Below are 18,490 nucleotides of genomic sequence, written 5' to 3'. Positions count from 1 at the left end.
AAAGCAGGCAGGTGCATGCCGGTCCCAGTAAGAAAACCCAAGTGGGCCAGGCTGTATCCTGGGCAACACAGCAAGACCTTGTGTCCACAAAAAGTTAAAAAAGAAAAGCTGGGCATGGTGGCTCACACCTGTAGTCCTAGCTACTCAGGGGCTGAGGCAGGAGGTTCGCTTGAGTGCAGGAATTGGAGGCTGCAGTGAGCTGTGATCACATCACTGCGCCCCAGCCTGGGCAACAGAGTGAGACCTTGTCTTTCAAAAATGAAAACCAAAAAATGTTACATAAGTCATCTAATTTAGTCTTACATCCTATGAGTTCAGGATCTTATTTATCACTCTCATTTTATAGGCAAAGAAACTGAGACTTACAGAGGTCAACAGTATCAATCAATAGTGGAAGAGCTAGGACTTGATCCCAGGCAGTCTAAGACAGCCCGTGCTTTTGACCATTTACTATTTAAATGCCTTTTGGTTGAAGGCTTGGCACAACGGCTCATGCCTGTAATCTCAGCACTTTGAGAGGCTGGAGTGGGAGGATCACTTGAGGCCAGGAGTTTGAGACCAGCCTGGGCAACACAGTGAGACTCTGTCTCTATAAAAAAAAAAAAAAAAAAATGCTGGGCATGGTGGTGCATGCCTGTAGTCCTAGTTACTCAGCAGGCTGAGCCCGGGGTTGAAGGCTGCAGTGAGCTGAGATTGTGCCGCACTCCAGCCTGGGTGACAGGGTGAGACCCTATCTCTTAGAAAAAAAAATTCCATTTGGTTGGAACTACCTTTTCTGCTGTTCTGTACCTAAATTAATAAAGCCAGGGCTTACTGAGTATATTATGTCATTTACCCTTTAAAATTACTCCATGAGATAGGCATGGTTATTCCTACTTTTCAGCAGAGGTAACTAAAGTTCTATTGAAGTTAAGTGATTTACTCAGGCCCCAAAAGTGGTCTGGCTAGGATGTGAACCCAAGTCTCTAACTCAAAAACACATGTTCACTCCATCATTCATACCACTGTCCTCATAAATGTTACTTTTCTACCTAGTTCCCCCTGCTACTGGTCTTTCCTTGCTCTAATCTACCCTTCAAATTATGGCCGGTTATTTTTCTAAAATGCCAATCTGATAGGTCACTTCCCTGCAAAGATGGCCAATGGCTCCCCACTGTGCACATGAGAAGAAGAAACTTTGTTATGGCAAGTGAGGCCCTTTACAACCTAGCTCAGAGATGCTTGCCAACCTCATGCCCCTAAATACCCTTTCACAACCCCCTCTCCTCAGAAGAACCTGAACTATGTTATATTATTAATGAGCCAGTAAAATATACTGGTTAAGTACAATGGGATTTGGACTCAAAGAGACATGAGTTTTAATCTTGGTTTTACCACTTACTAGTTTTAAGGCCTTGGGCAAATTACTTCTTCTTCTTCTTCTTTTTTTTTTTTTTTTTTTTTTTTTGAGACAGTCTCATTCTGTCGCCCAGGCTGGAGTGCAGTGGTGCAATCTTGGCTCACCGCAGCCTCCACCTCCTGGGTTCAAGTGATTCTCCTGCCTCAGCCTCCCAAGTAGCTGGGATTACAGGCGCCCGCCACCACACCCGGCTAATTTTTTTATTTTTAGTACAGATGGGAGTTTGCCATGTTGGCCAGGCTGGTCTTGAACTCCTGATCTCAAGTGATCCACCTGCCTCGGCCTCCCAAAGTGCTGGGATTACAGGTGTGAGCCACCATGTCCAGCCTCAAATTACTTCTTTGTATCTTTGTTTCCATTAAAAAAACACCAAACTAATTGTAGTATGTTGTGAGCACTGAAAGATACTACTACATAAGAATTGAATAAAAAATATATATGTACCTGTGCCTGGCACATAACTAATAAATGCTCAATGCTACCTATAATTGCTATATGTTTATTATGATATAATTATATATCATAATTACTGTACTTATAAACTCATTCTATTTGTTACCAGGAGTATTTGTATTCATCATATTCACCTTATAAGCCCCCCACTTATTTTTTATTCTCCCAAAGTCTCTCTTCAAGTGTGAACTCTGAGATCCTGTTTCTGTTCTCTCAAACTTCCCTCTATTACAGTATTTATTATAATGTTATGACTTTTAGTTTGTCCATCTCATCTGTAAAAAAGAGTCAGTAAATATTTTAGGCTTTGTGGGCCACAGAGTCTCTGCTGCACCACTCAGCTCTGCTACTGTAGCATCAAAGCAGCAGTAAACACTATACAAATAAACAGGCATGGTTGTGTTCCAATGAAACTTTATAAATACAGGTAGTGGGCCAATTTGGCCTATGGGCTATAGCCTGCCAGCCCCATGTGCTAGACCATAAGCCAGCAGAGGGTAAGAGCTGGGTCTTTTCTACTTGCATCCTTACCTACAAATTGGCCCAAGAAACAGTTACTGAATTTAATAAGCAGATGAGTCAATCAAAGATCTAAATAGTGTTACATCTTCTGTAAATCCTTTTTCACATTACTCCCTGAAAGTAGCTTTATATGTCTCTCTCTTACCTACTTATGATATCTGATTGTAGTTAATCGTTGATGTAGGTTTTTGCTGTTAGTCTATTTTTGAGCCTTGTAATGTGCTGGACAAATAGGAGGTACTCATTAAAATGAGTATTAGTAAAAGAAATGAATGCAAAATTCTTTTAGGTTTTGACCACGAGAGAATACAATAACTGTCTTGGTCCAAGGAGCTACCCACCTGCAACTGTGACTCACTCTGTAGTTGTGCAGGGACTCTACATAAATACGACATGGAATGGAATTAGGGGTGCACAGAAGTGTGGGGAGCAGGTTGTTAAGGAGCAAGTGAGTGATTAGAATTCCTACACTGTCCTTGGTGTCTGTGCTCACTATTATCTGCTGCAGTGCTGATAATCAATGTAAGTTTGGCAGGTGACTTTTCTTCATCTGCATCTGAATAACTAGCAAAATGGTATTTGGTTTTTCAGAACTTTTCTTTTTTTATTATTATACTTTAAGTTTTAGGGTACATGTGCACAACGTGCAGGTTAGTTACATATGTTTACATGTGCCATGTTGGTGTGCTGCACCCATTAACTCGTCATTTAACATTAGGTTTATCTCCTAATGCTATTCCCTCCCCGCTTCCGCACTCCACAACAGGCCGTGGTGTGTGATGTTCCCCTTCCTGTCTCCATGTGTTCTCATTGTTCAATTCCCACCTATGAGTGAGAACAAGCGGTGTTTGGTTTTTTGTCCTTGCGATAGTTTGCTGAGAATGATGGTTTTAATATGTATGGCAGTGGGGTGGAGAAAAGGAGAGTACAAGAAAGGTTAACAGCAGCTTAAGTTGCTCAGTGGCTGTGTAACTGCTCGGAAAAGATAAGATCATTGACTGAAAATGTAATTTTGCTTTGCTCTTCCTAAATTATCAGACTAGCGATGCACAGTGGCGCATGCCTATGGTCCCAGCTGCTCAAGAGGCTAAGGCAGGAGGATCACTTGAGCTCAGGAGTTTGAGGCTACAGTGATCTATGACTGCACCACTGCACTCCAGCTTGGGCAACAGCCCTGTCTCTAGAAAATAAATTAATAAAAAATTAATGTTTTGAAAGACTAAGAACTCTTTTCTAAGTGTCCTTTTATATTGCAACTTTCCCAATGGTCTACTGGTCCTTGACTAATACCCTTTAAAAATATTTCTAAGGAAATTAAAAACTAATTTATAAAATATAATGTCAAACATACCCAGAATTAAGAAAACTGAGAGCTACACTAAGAGCTGTAACTCTTCGCATGTAACTACTACTATCTGTGTTTCCTTGCTTCAGCCTAGTACAAACTTTGCAACCATCATCCTCTACTCATGATTTTTTTAAAAAAATTAGTCTATATTTTAATAAGACACTATTTGTACTACTTACCTATTTGGAAGATGATGACTGCCAAAGGTTGTACTTCCCCCAGGACCCACAAATAGCCTTAGTCCTTCTTCTGCAATACACATTTAAAATGTTTGTTACATGTACAATTATTAGACTATTGTCAAATATATGGATATTGTAATAATTCATATTTTACAATTGTTTATTAGAGAAATAAACAACTTAAAAACCAAAGTTATATACATGTTTTAAAATAGGCAATTTAAAAGATACTCTAAAGGTTATTTCTCTTCAATGTTTCTAAAACTCTTTTTCTTTTAACTGAGTAATGGAGATAGCTCTTCCTAGAAATTTCCAAAGTAAGGTTTAATTATTTCTCTTTACACCCAACTACATAATGAAAATAAGTCCACTGTTAAGTGCTTTCTATTCACATCAACATGAGTAATTATACCTTTCAAATTGGTGGCATACAAATTTTCAGCTTCAGTGAAAATTCTAAGGAGGGAATGAAGGATTCCATTATTCACTATTGTTCTAAGACCACCTCCAAATTACAACAGTGGCTTAAAGCACTTATAACAAAAGCAGATGTAGATACCTATCATTAGGTATACGAACGCTGTAGACATCTAGGCATAATTAAAAACACAATAAATGTTTTATTTAAAATTGATCACTTTTAACTAACATTTGTTCTTTTTCTAAACTCAATACTCATTCTCATTAATAAATGAGCTATAAAGTTATCTTGATATTTTTATGGGCATGAAATTTACTATACAAATATGCAACAGTCAGTATTATGATGTTCTGAGCCTCTTTACTGCTGACTACACAGATTACAAAAACCTGGATTGCAGGAATCTATGCTTAACAGTTACCTACACACCTTCCGCACTGGAATCTAGGCTGAAGTCTTGACTTTGTAATATTTTCTCTACAATGTCATCTGCATCCACCCTGGTGTCATCAACTCGCTTCAGCTGAGATTCTACAGAATCTTGTTTCACTGGGCATCTTTGAAAAGAATTACATTTTTTCCTTTTTATTATGTTATGAAAACAAAGTTTTTTAAAAATTAAAATTTATTCTTTAAACTAAAAGGATACCTGCTGAGTTTTTCTGAAGCTGTATCTTCTTTATCAGCTGTATCAAGATTTGGCTCAGCGATTTTCTGCTCAATTTCATCACATGGCTCTAGAATACTTTCAACTCCTGTTGATGTGCTTCCCACTGAGGTATTTCTCCTGTGGCAGAGCTCAGAGAAACTAGATGACCGGGAGTGACACGTGCTATACCCTGTCAGAGAAAATCACCTTGGATATAATACTCATATCAAACACTCTGCAATCTGACATCGTTCCCCCACACCACAGCAGTTTCAAGTCCCTTTGGAACAATAAGGAATTCAACTTCACTGTTAGCCTCTACCTGATACTTTTGACTGCTGACTTGCATAGCTTGATGTTCTAGAATGTCCACAGGCACCAAGTTCGTCTGGAACAGAGGCACTCTTTGCTGAAAGATCTGTAATATGTCATAACATGATGTCATTCTTATTGCCAAAAAGTTAATGGTCAATTTGTATTCTACTCTGCAGACTTTATAAACTCTGCCAAGTTCATTATCAAAACAATAAGTTACAAAATGAGGGACATCCTTTTAAGTCAGTGCAATGGAAGTAACTGTATTGCAAGATATACAAAGTATTTAAATACCTTAGTTCGCTGAAGAATTATATTTTTCATAACATTAAAAAATTATTTCAGTCCTTTATTAGTTCAGTCTATGCAATAAACTCCTGTTGTTCAAAACATTTAACAGCACTCTATCTTAAAACTGCTACAGTTTTAGTGTTCAGTATTTCTCTAACAAAAATGACTCAGATGTATTCTTATAAATGTTCACAAAATTGGTAGGTTTTAATGTGGTTTCTAAGGAAATACTGCTTCCTTAAAAATCCATCACAACAGCAAGCTAAAGAGTACTCTATTACTTTAATGTTAGTGTTGTTAGTGCTAGGCTATAATTTGGGCAATGTCTGTGGCTTAAATCAACACAGCATGGGACGTAGCACTGAGAGTAAAAGTTCTTAAGAAAGTGATTATAGTATTCATATTCAAAGTAAATGTACAAAAGGCAGTGTCAAAGCCATTTCTAATAGTTTCTGATCATGTGTATGTTCCAGGTGCCAATTACATATTTTCAGAACCAGGCTTCTTCCAGAGAATGCAGAACTGTGACCATTTTCCCTAGGGCACAATCATATTTGGAAACAAGAACTGTTTTTAACTTAGAAGCAGAAGGAAAGCAATTGAGTAACATAGCTATTATAGCAGCTATTCTATAAATGATACTGCATGCAGTTGGACCAACAAATGCTGCAAAACAAGGAAAATACTGGAGTAACCTGGTCCTTCTGCAAAGGTTTCTCATTTCTGGACAGAGTATAAGTGGTCCAAAAGCAAACATTCAGCAAAATCTGAACTCAAAAAGTTGGTTCATATCGAGTTATGCAGCGCTCTTTACTTCTGGGTTTGGCCCAGATCTTAAGTCATCCACATATCTTCTGGTTTTCAAAATTTATTCATTCAATCAATATTTATTAATATTTTACCCAGTCAGGTGCCTAATACTGTACAAGGTATAGGAAGTACAAAATAAGACAAAATACATGCTTAGAGTTTAGAGGTAGAAGCAAAACTTATACAATGTGGTAAGTACAAAAATACAAGCACAAAAAAGCAGCTATTAAGAGCTCCAAAGGACAGTGCATCTGACACAACCTGGTAACAGAGGAGGTTAACCCCAGGACTTGAGCGACGTATAGGAACTCCTGAGCTAGATGAGCAAGGAAAGGCACCGGGAAGAGCATGCCTTCTTTGTAGGGAAGCAGATCGTTTGGTAAAGTTGGCATATAGGGTAGTGGAGTATAATAACCGAGGGAAAAGGGGCTAGAAAGATGAGTAGATGCCTGTTGATGAAGAACCTTCTATGAGTTTAAAGAAGAAAACAGTTCAGTGGCTTTAAGAAAGGGTGTGACATGATCAAATCTACATTTTGGGAAGAACACTCTGGCAACAGGATAAACAGGGGGCATAAGAGTGTAGGTTTTCATAATAATCCAGCTGAGAGGGAGAGATGTTTCATAGGCACAAATAGCAGGACTCAATAAGAAAGGAGAAGTTTGTGTCAGGAAAACTGAAGTAGAAAAGACAGGAGGAAAAGGTAGGAAGACTTGTGCTAGATATGCGGAATTAGAGACACCTGAGGATGCCTATTCAACAGTCACTCATCTACTGTGTCCCGGGCCTTCTGCTGGGGATACAGAAATAAATAAGACCTGATCATGAAGAACTTAGTTAGACTCTGGCTGGGTAGAAAGAGAAACAGATGGATTTCAGTGTTACATTTGGTATGAAGTGGACCTTTCCCCAAAGCATTTGATCACATGTACATCACAGAATCACATTTACATTTATGTGATAGATAAAGCCAAGGGTATAGATGGTATTGCTCAAGGAAGTGAGGGGACCAAACCCTTTGGAACATCAATATGTAAAGGGAAGTTGGAGGAAGATGAAGAAGCCTCTAAGAAGCTAGAAAAGGAAAGATCAGAGAGGTAGGAGCCAAGGGAAGAGAAAGCATCAAGAATGAATAACTGGCCATCAGATAAGACCAGAACAAATGTCCACAGGACTTGACAATCATGTATCAGGGGATAGCAGCAAGAGAGGGCAGATGATGGAAGCCAGACTGCTAATGTGTTTAGGAATAAATGGACAGTATATTCTTTCTAGAAGTTTGGCTATAAGAAGTGTGTGGTACATATATCATCTCTTGCTGATCTTTCTCTCTCTCTCTCCACACACACACACACACACACACACACACACACACACACACACACACACACACAGAGAGAGAGAGAGAGATGTATCTATATTTGGGGCAGAGTGGGGGAAGAGAGAGAGCATGTGAGCACATGCGCCAGCCTGCTGGAGTCTAAGGGAGTGCAGTAGATAGAGAAGGATGTAGGGCTAAGGAGTTTTTGTTTTCATTTTTTCAGTAGGAGAAAGAAATCAGCATATTTACATGCTGAAGAGAAGGAGCTAATGGAATGGTTACAAGTTCCCAAAAGATCCACTGATCCCAAAACAGGAAATTTCAGAGTCACCATTATTTATAAGAAACCAAATATTTGCATATTTTAAAAGGCAGTGAAAGGGTTAATTATATAACTTCACCTTTCCCTTCTTTCAAACAATACATCCTGTTCACATAATACTGAAGAAAGAAGGAAGCTCCTAAGTCCTTTTCCTCCTGCAACCTTGACATTATCCCCACCATGCTTTTACTTCTGGAGCAGATTCTGACTGCTGCCAGAAGTGTGTCTGGAAATGTGGATCTCAAGGTGTGGTCAGGGACTAGCAGCATCAGCGTCTTGTGGGAATGCCTTAGTGATACAAAACTTCAGGCTCTAACCCAGATCTACTGAATCGAACACTCTGGCTGCTGCCGCCAGCAACCTGTGTTTTCACAAGCCCTCCAGGAGACTCTGATGCACACTAGGGCTTGAGAACCACTGACAGAGGGAAAGCGATTCATGGAAGAGGAGCGACACCCGAGAGGCAGAAGCTGCTTTGCAGAAGTTGCAGGGTAATGGAACGGGAAAAATGGAAAAAATCCTGTAGTATTCTCTTGTACCTGTGGGGAGTAGATGCATACAGTGAGGAGAGTGTCATTGTAACATCTAGTTTTTAATCTGTCAGAGCACAATACTTTAGACAAAATAAAGCACTGGATCAACCAAGAATTACATAATTAAAACTGTTGATTCTTATTGGCCTGTTTCAAGTCAAATACCCACACAATTCCCAAAGAATTTTTAGGGCATCAAGTCGTCTCTCACAAATTAAAAAACCAGTAAGCCACACATCCATACCTGCTATTCCAAGATGCACTTTGAGAGTCTCTCCACCTTTTCTATCTTCTTGCAAAGATTCAGATTCACCAGCAATTGGTATAGACATTGAAGTGGAGGGAGGCCTGTAAATAAACATTTACGAACTGGAGTTGTGGGGGAGCCTCAAAGTTTACAATAGTTATTGATTGGTGAGCTTAGTAAGCCTTAGCATAGACTGCTTGGTAATGTTACCCCTTTGAGAGTGAAAGTAACAAAGATCAGCAAATAACGTATAAGCATCTTTTCAAAACTTGAATAAAATTCATAAAAGAAAAGGGTTTTTTTTTTTTTTTTTAACATAACAAGAAAAGGGCATTGTCTCCATAGAGTCCTAAAAAGAGAGGCCTCTGTCAGTGTGAACCCAGCACTGGTCAAGGGAGGGTTGCTCTAACTGTCAACTCAGGACAGCACCTTTCAGCTGAGGAAGGCAGTGCCAAGCCCTTTTGAATCAGGCTGGGAGGAGAATGCCTCGTGCCTCCTGCTTCAGAGACTGTGCTCCCTGGCTGGCTCCACTCACTTTTTAAATAGTATCCATGGTTTTATCTTCTACCTTCATCTCTGTAAACAGTTCACCTGCCCAGGGAGAGTCTACAGAGAGGCCCAGTTGTTTAGATTTGTTTTTTGGATTGGATTCTCTGGGAGTAGTAATGGATCTATTTTCATTGGTTAATTCAAACTCCTATTCCACGTAAAAGCTGTGAAGCAAGGAGGGGTAAATTTAATTTCTAACAGTTTTTTTTTTCTTTAAAAATTTTTGGCTGGGTGCAGTGGCTCACGCCTGTAATCTCAGCACTTTGGGAGGCCAAGGCGGGTGGATCACCTGAGGTCAGGAGTTCGAGACCAGCCTGGCCAACATGGTGAAACCCAGTCTCTACTAAAAATACAAAAATTAGACGGGTGTGGTGGCATGCATCTGTAGTCCCAGCTACACAGGAGGCTGAGGAAGGAGAATCACTTGAACCCGGGAGGCAGAGGTTGCAGTGAGCCGAGATTGCACCATTGCACTCCAGCCTGGGCGACAGAGCGAGACTCCGTCTCAAAAAAAAAATATTTTTTTATTTTTGTAGATACATAATAGGTATATACATTTATGGGTTACATGAGATATTTTGATACAGGCATGCAATGCATAATAATCACATTAGGGTAAATGGGGTATCCATCACCTCAAGCATTTATCCTTTCTTACAAAACAGTCCAATTATACTCTTTTATTTTTTACTCATTTATTTTGAGACAGGGTCTCGCTTTGTCACCCAGGTTGGAGTGCGGTGGCGCAATCATGGCTCACTGCAGCCTCCACTTCTCCAGCTCAAGCAATCCTTCTTCCTTAGTCCCCCAGTTAGCAGGGACTATAGGCACACAGAACCATGCCTGGCTTTTTTTTACATTTAGTAGAGACTTTAAATTTTTTTTGCAGAGATGGGGGTCTCCCTATGTTGTCCAGGCTGGTCTCGAACTCCTGGGTTCAAGCAATCCATCTGCCTCAGCCTCTCAAAGTGCTGGGATGACAGATGTGAGCCATGGTGCCCAGACTCTTTCAGTTATTTTAAAACGTGCAACAAATTATTGTTGACTAGTGATCCCATTGGGTTTCCTTTTTAACATAGGGATTTTTATTAGAAAACATCCCTAACCTTCTAAAAACATTTTTTTTTAGAGACAGGGTCTCATTATGTTGCCCAGGCTGGTCTCTAACTCCTGGTCTCAAGTGATCCTTCCACCTTGACCTCCTGAAGTGCTGGGATTACAGGTACGAGCCACCATGCCCAGCCAATCCCTAACCTTTTGAGGCTGATATTGCAGAGGAAAACCACATCTTCCCAGAAACTATGCCTTGGTGACCAGAGATAAAACAGGGAGGTGGCTGAAGGAATCATGCAGCTGACCTGCTTTATGGCAATTCTTAAATTCTTACCCTGTTATTCTTAATGGAGTTCTCAGGCTACTCGGATTCTTGGGGATAGAGACATTTAAGATTGCTATTAAATCTATTGCATTTATTGACTATTTCCAGCCTAGGATCTCCTAAATTCTAGACTTACATATCCTATTGAGACGCTTTCAAGTATTTGTCCTACAGGTACGTGAAACTCAATATCTCCCCAACTAAACTCATCTTTCCCAAAACTGTTTTCTTCTTGTATTCTCTCTGTAAATGTCATTGCAATCCACAAAGTCACCAAAACTAGAATTACGGATATCACCTCTGCCTCCTTCCTAATAACATTTTCCCATGTCCAATCAATTTCCAAATCTCAGATCCTCATTTAGTATTTTTCCTATTCATCATCTCTTCTCCATCTCCACTAATTACTTGAGTTTTGGCCTTTGTACCTTTCTCCTGGCTGACTGCAAGGGTCTCCTTGCTGGTCTGCCAATCTCTACTCCATGCTACTGTCACTGTGGTCTTTCTGAAACTTGCCTCTGAACATGTTACTCTCTTATTTAAAACCCCTCCATAGCTCCTTCGGCATAAAACTCAAATCCCTCAGAACTTGCAGTCTGGCCTAGACCTGCCTCTTCAATTACCAACAGCTGTATTTTCTTTCTCCTTTCTTTTTTCTTTTTTGAGACGGAGTTTCGCTCATTTCCCAGGCTGGAGTGCAATGGCGCACTCTCGGCTCACTGCAGCCTCCGCCTCCCGGGTTCAAGTGATTCTCCTGCCTCAGCCTCCTGAGTAGCTTGGATTACAGGTGCCCGTCACCATGCCTGGCTAATTTTTGTATTTTTAGTAGAGACACGGTTTCGCCATGTTGGCCAGGCTGGTCTTGAATTCCTGGCCTCAGGTGATCCATCCACCTCGGCCTCCCAAAGTGTTGGGATTACAGGCGTGAGCCACCACGCTCGGGCTGTATTTTCAAATAATGTAAAATAGCTTTGTGGAAAAAAAAAAACACCCTGCATTAAATATTTCATGGGAAAAACTAATACACAGAAGAAACACAAAGAATGGAGCCTACAGTCATAGTCATTAATCACTGATGGCTGACTCATGCCTGCATGTCTAAAAATTCTTACCTTTTTAATGCCAGTTTCTTTCACAGGTGACCTGATTACAGTGTCCCTATCCCCTCTATGTCTTAGACCTGTTTTCCAACCCTCAGAACTCCCAAACATTGGCCCCTTCCCTCTCTATTTCCCTCTGGCTCCATTCTCCCTTCCAGCCTGACTCCACAGCCACAACTCTTTAAGCAACACCTTCAATTTGGCACCCCTTGTTCTGCGGTCTCAAAAAAGCTGAAGAACTGCAACCCTTGATAATATCAGCCATCTATACTAACTGCTCTATTACTGGGGCAACTAAGCATTATGGAGAAAATTCACTGACTATGGGGACTGATAGTAAAGCAAATTTAGAATCCAAAATCTTAGCTGGGGCTTGGCAGCTCTCTTACCTCCCTGGACAACTCAGTCTTGTTGAATAAATAATCACTGAGTGCTTGCCATGTGCCAGTTTTTGTTCCATTACCCCTTTTGTTCTGAAAATGCTTTTATATCTCATCTGAAATCACTTAATGTGGGTCAAGTATAGAAAAAGAAATGGGATTACTTTAATTTGATTGCTTTATAGTAATGTTAAGAATATGTGAAAAATGACCTCATAAAACGACAACATTACCTATTTGACATTTCTTAAATACTCAATGCCCTGTAACGATGGCATAAACTTGTGCACAGTTTTCTCTCCTGGGGTGTCCCTACCTACCTCCTGTGCTTAGTAAATTCCTAGTCATCCCCTAAACTTAGCTCAGTGTCCCCTTCTCAGTAAAGATTTCCCTGGCTTTCAAAGAACTGTGGCTAGGGATCCTATCCTGTGTGCCCCAGTGACACTGTATGCTGTGTGCCTGTCTCCCACGTAATCAGTGAATCCCTTCAGAGCAGGGGCTGGTCTTTTCTAGCTTGTTAAGTCTTGGCATGTGGCAGGCAATCAATACACATGTACCGAATGAATGATTGCATCCTGGGACCCTGGAAGAATTAATTCCTTAACCTCTTAGTCTCGATGTCCTCACTCAAAAATATGGATAATATTTATATTACAGAGTTTTAAGAATTGAGAGACAGTAACATTCATGAAATCATTTTCACAAATGATAATTTCCTTCCTTTTGGAATATGAACGCGTCAGAACCTTGCTATTCAAGAGACTTATATCACCCCTAGATCTGCTTTGCCACCACATTCCCAAATGCCAGCAGAGTATACACTTTCTCTCTCAAAATATCTTTTTTCTTTATTAGCACTTTTCAGAGTGAATTTCATTCTTTTACAAGAGTTGGTGGGTGTTTGATGAGTTGTAGAGAACTATGCAATAAAGTTTAGGGTAGGTGGTTAGGCTGACTTACCAGCTGTCTTCTTCATAAATTCTGGCCTTATGGTATATAATTGGTGCTTCAGAAGAATTATACAATCTATGTCACAGATCTTCTGCTCAGAAAATATTAAAACTAGGATTTAAACTTGAGACTAAGGATCTGCTATACTCCTGTTTCTCAAGTAAATTTAAAACAATTTATATCATGAAAAATTTAAAGATAGACAAAAGCAGACAATGGTAGAATGAAGCCCTCCAGCAGTTATTTACATCTTCATTCTGGACAAAGATACTGAGTAAAGTCACACAATTGCTCTGTTACTCCGTTTCCTCATCTGTACAATGAGAACTTGGATTACACCAACACTTTTAAAACTGGTTTCATGATCTCCTTTAGGGACTTCTGGAAGTAGGTATGGGAGTGTGCTCAATGGAAAATCTATTCTTATCTTACCTAAGTTGGAGGGGATATAAAGTAAAATTTTATATACTAGGATTCATAATATATTTGCTTTATTTTTGAAACAGGTCTTGCTCTGTCACCCAGCCTGGAGTGCAGTGGCATGATCTTGGCTCACTGCAACCTCAGCTTCTTGGGCTTAAGGGATCCTCCCACCTCAGACTCCTGAGTAGCTGGGACGACAGGCGCACCACCACGCCTGGCTAATTTTTTAATTTATTTTTTGGTAGAGACAGGGTTTCACCATGTTGCCCAGGCTGGTCGTGAACTCCTGGACTCAAGTGACCCACCTGCCTTGGCCTCCCAAAGTGTGGGATTACAGGCATAAGCCACCATGCTTGGCCTCATAATATATTTGAGCAAAGGATTTTGTAGCTAAATAGTCTAAAAAAATCACTGGATTAGACAACTTCCAACATTCTTTTCGGCTCTAAAGTAATGTGACTTTACATATTTGACATATATTTAAATATAACTTGATAAAACTAATTTACTTTTTACATCAGTAGTTAAAATGTTTTTCTATTCAGTACATATTCAGTATGTGCAAGTGTATGAATGTGTTAGAATTTCCCCTTTTTCAATGACATTTGAACAATTTCAAAGAGAAAAGAAAAACTACTGAGGGTTTGATTCTCTTGAAAAATATTTTATGTATTTGGAATTAGGTAATGTCTGCTTATTTTTATGAATTACAAAAGTCTTTCTCTGTAAATATAAACTCCAGATTGTCAGAATTAAATTTATGGAGATAATATAAAACATTAGATGATCTACTTTCAAGCTCTTCAATATGTGAGTTTAAGTAGAGAGAGAAAAGGGAAGAGAAAGGGCAAGAAAGGGAATATCCATAAAAAGTTCATGAGAAGGAACGATCAATTTATTTTCTTCTACTAAGTTTTGCTGCTCATTTTCTTATTTTACCCTAAATCTTACTCCAATAGAAAAACAGTTACCTGAGACACCAAAAATAGTATAGCAAAATTGGTTTAATCCCAAGAAAGCAGAAAATAAAGGAGTCAGGAAACCATGGTTTATCAGAAGACAGCACAGGAAGGCTAAGTTATAGGAAGATGTGTGGTTTTAATCAAGAATTGATTTTTTTTTTTTTTTGAGACAGGGGCTTGCTCTGTCACCCAGGCTGGAGTATAGTGGTGCAATCTTGGCTCACTGCAACCTCCACTTCCCAGGCTCAAGCAATCCTCCCCTTAGCCTCCCAAGTAGCTGGAACCACAGGTGTGCATCACCACGCCTGATTTTTGTATTTTTTGTAGAGTGATCCTCCTGCCTCGGCCTCCCAAAGTACTGGGATTACAGGCGTGAGCCACCGAGCCCGGCCAAATGTTGCTTTCTAAGTTACAGCTATTAAAAACATGAAGTTGATACATAGGGAGGTAATGTTTTCTTTAGTTTTCTATGTGTATTTTTCTCAGATATTTCAATGGTATCAATGAACTTTCACTTTTAATCATTAAGTGTCCTCAAGGCTGCTGACAGGCAATCCTGCATTTCCCTGTTCCATTCATGCTCACTCTCTGTGAGGACTTCTGCACACCTTTTCCTTTCTTCAAACCCCTTCCTCTATCTTCCCTGTCCTTGCTCTTCAATGAGCATCTTGTTTCCTATTTCACTAAGAAATCAGAAGCAACTGGAAAAGAACTTCTATATGCTTCCATTTCTCCTCTACCTGCGTCAGTAGCCATGTTCTCTGCCTTCCTCCCTCCAACAATCCAAGGGCGCTGTTCTAGCAACAGTCCCTTTTCTGGATCATCAGTTTTTCCCTCTTGTTGAGCCAATACTATTGGTACTCAAATATGTTATATCATCTTCCATCTTAAAAATGAATAAAACCTGCCCTACTCCAAATCCTCTCTTTACTTATGACCCCATCTTTCTGTTTCTTTTTTATAGCAAAACCCCTCATAAGAATTGTTTATACTCACTGTCTCCAATTTTTCTCCTCCCAAACTCTCTTTAACCCATGCTCAAAAGGCTTTAGTCTAAGGGCATTCTACCAAAGTGCCTGCCAAAGTCATCAATAGTCTCTATACTGCAAATTCCAAAGGTCAATCCTCAGTCCTCATTTTCTGAGACCCACTCCAGCAGCGTGTGACACAGGTGCTTATTCCTGCCTTTCTGAGGCCGTTTCTTCATTTGGTTTTCAGGACAGGACTCTGCTTTGCTTTCCTCCTCTGATCACACTGGTGGTTTCTTTGCTCATTCTTCTTCCCAATCTCCCCGACCTCTAACACGCTGGGGTGTCCCCACCTCAGTCTCTGGTTCTTTTCCATCTCTACTCGTTCCCTCTAGTTACTTATTCAAGTCTCATGGCTTTAATTACTACCTGTATGCTGATGATGTAATAATTTCCAAACTTCTATCTCCTGCCCAGATCTCCCCACTGGACTCTAGTTGATCTATCCACCAATTGCCTACTTGACATGCCCCGCTGGATGTTAAATAGGGATCTCCAATTTAAAACGTCTAACACCCAAGCTCCCAATTTGTTCCTCTTGTCTTTCTCATCTCAACAAATGAGAGCACCATTCTTCCAGTTACTCAGGCTTAAAACCTTGGATTACTGAAAACAGCCTTTTATCTACTTATTTGTGTCCCTGTCCTCTCTGTTACTCCTACAGATTGTCTATTCCCTATCTAGCAGCCACAAGTCAGATAATTTTACTCCTCTGCTCAAAACCTCCAATAGCTTTTCTATCTCACTCAGAGTGTGAGTGGCAGTCCTTTTTATAATGGCCACAAGACTCCTTATCATCTGACCTCATCTCCTATCACCCGCCTCTTCATTCACTCTGCTTTAGACCCGCTGCTCTCCAGGCAGCTACTTGAACGTGCCAAGAACACTTCTCCCTCAAGGTCTTTGTCCTTGTTTCCTCTACCTCAAATACTCTTCCCCCTAATGCCAGTGTGACTTGCTTCCCACCTCCTTCAGGTCTCTACTCAAATATCATCTTTACCGGGGGGGGCCTCCCCTGACTACTATATATAGAATAGCAACACTTCTCTTCACGATGGCCCTCCCATCCTTTTTCTCCAAAGCGCTTATGAACCGTTTGTATATTATATATTTACTTGTTAGCTTATTGTCCATTTTCCTCTTAGAATATAAGCTCCAGGATGGCAGGGACTTAATCTATTTTTTTCACAGCTGTTTCTCTAGTATCTAGAATATGGCCTAACACATGGTAAGGCACTTAATAGGTGTTTATTGAAGAAATGAATATGTTCACAGAAGCCGTATTAAAAATTTTTGCTTATATAATTTTACGCAAAACCCGAAGATGATGAAAGACCTATAGCATTAATAATTTGGAGTATGGAGAACTCATTTGGTAATAGGTAAACATAACTTCTAAGAGGGTCAGGTCAGTCTCCCAGGGAAGAAACTATCCCTTAACTGGTATTTTCTTATAAGCACTACAAAATATTAATGTAAAAATTTAAACAAATAAATCTTTCTTATACTTTTAGATACATAATCCATTTATTGGGTATCAACTTACGTTTTAAAACATGGGTCACCAGACATCAGTTGCATACTGATCAAAACCTAAATATAAAACAAGAAATATCACGATTATAAAAAATTATAAAATGCTTCCTTCACAGCACTTAGTCCGATATTTTCTATTGGGAAAGCATTAAATAAAATGATTGTTGAATTGGGTTATATCCACGGGAGGCTAAGGCAGGAGGATTGTTTGAGCCCAGGAGTTTGAGGTTATAGTAAGCTATGGTCATGCCACTGCACTCCCGCCTAGGCAACAGAGCAAGACCCTGTCTCTATTAAAAAAAAAAAAAAAAAAAGAAGAAGTGGGTTATATTCAATATTCAATTACTGCTCCATATAGATTAAAATCATTTTTAACATTCAAAACCTCAAAATTGCAAAAATCTGAATGGAAATAATGGAAACAAATAGCAATAATAATTTACCAGTAATAATCCTGTGGGTGTGTGGCTGTGCTAATCTATCTGTCTTTACTCCCAAATTCCTGTGGTACCTAAGTGTCTGGTAATGTTTTCCTTCAAGTTGCCACGTTGATGTTTCAAGGGATGCCAGCTGGTGGCTTCTAAGAGTAAAAAGCTTCTGACCTTTGTTCCAGCTTTAGATCAGAATTTAAAACTTTTTTTTTTTTTTTTTTAATTCTTGAGATAAGGTCTTGCTTTGTCACCCAGGCTGAAGTGCAGTGGTGCTATCACAGATCACTGCAGTCTTAAACTCCTGGGCTCATGATCTTCCTGTCTCAGCCTTCTGAGTAGCTGGGACTATAGGTGCACACTACGCCTGGCTAATTCTTTCCTTTTTCTTTTTTTTTTGCAGAAATGAGGTCTTGCTTATGTTGTCCAAGCTGATCTTGAACTCCTGGCCTCAAGTGATCCTACCCCTTGGCCTCCCAAAGTGCTAGGATTATAGGTGTGAGTCACTGTGCCCAACCAGGATTTAAAGCTTTTCTAATACTTTCTAAGATGCTGCTATTCTCTAGTTGCTGACTACCTTTAACAGTCAGTCATAGGACCTCTTTATGTTCTTATGGGAATAATAATGATAATGGTAATAGTAACAACAACATTAACAACAATCATGATTTGAGAATTCATTATGTGCCAGGCATAAGCTATGTGTTTAATATGCATTATTTCCTTTAATTTTCAGTATTCCTAGGAGAGAGCAATTATTTTCATTTTAACCTCAGGGAGATTAAGTGATATTTTAAAAACCAGATAACTAGTAAAGGGCAGAGCTGAGATGTGATCCCAGGGCTGCACATAGCAAAATTCATAGTCTTAATGAATACAAGAATATGTACATTGTTGTATGTTCTGCAGCTAATGGATGACATGTATCTTATATAGCCTTAT

General features: G+C 39.7%; 1 protein-coding gene across 1 annotated transcript in view; it reads right to left on the bottom strand.

The window, feature by feature from the left end:
• Positions 1-18,490, bottom strand: part of EEIG2 (EEIG family member 2) — a 79,223-nt gene that overhangs the window by 5,764 nt on the left and 54,969 nt on the right. Inside the window, exons 5-10 of the mRNA NM_001010883.3 lie at positions 17,131-17,177; positions 8,811-8,914; positions 5,297-5,392; positions 4,975-5,164; positions 4,755-4,882; positions 3,902-3,971 (exon numbers count right to left, since the gene is read on the bottom strand). Of these exons, the coding sequence (NP_001010883.2) occupies positions 3,902-3,971; positions 4,755-4,882; positions 4,975-5,164; positions 5,297-5,392; positions 8,811-8,914; positions 17,131-17,177 (635 nt within the window). The remainder of the gene's footprint in view (positions 1-3,901; positions 3,972-4,754; positions 4,883-4,974; positions 5,165-5,296; positions 5,393-8,810; positions 8,915-17,130; positions 17,178-18,490) is intronic.

This window comes from Homo sapiens, chromosome 1 (assembly GCF_000001405.40).
Source record: "Homo sapiens chromosome 1, GRCh38.p14 Primary Assembly".
Classification (NCBI taxonomy): domain Eukaryota; kingdom Metazoa; phylum Chordata; class Mammalia; order Primates; family Hominidae; genus Homo; species Homo sapiens.
The sequence above is the reverse complement of the archived record's forward strand: the minus strand, read 5'-3'. Positions and strand labels throughout refer to the sequence as shown.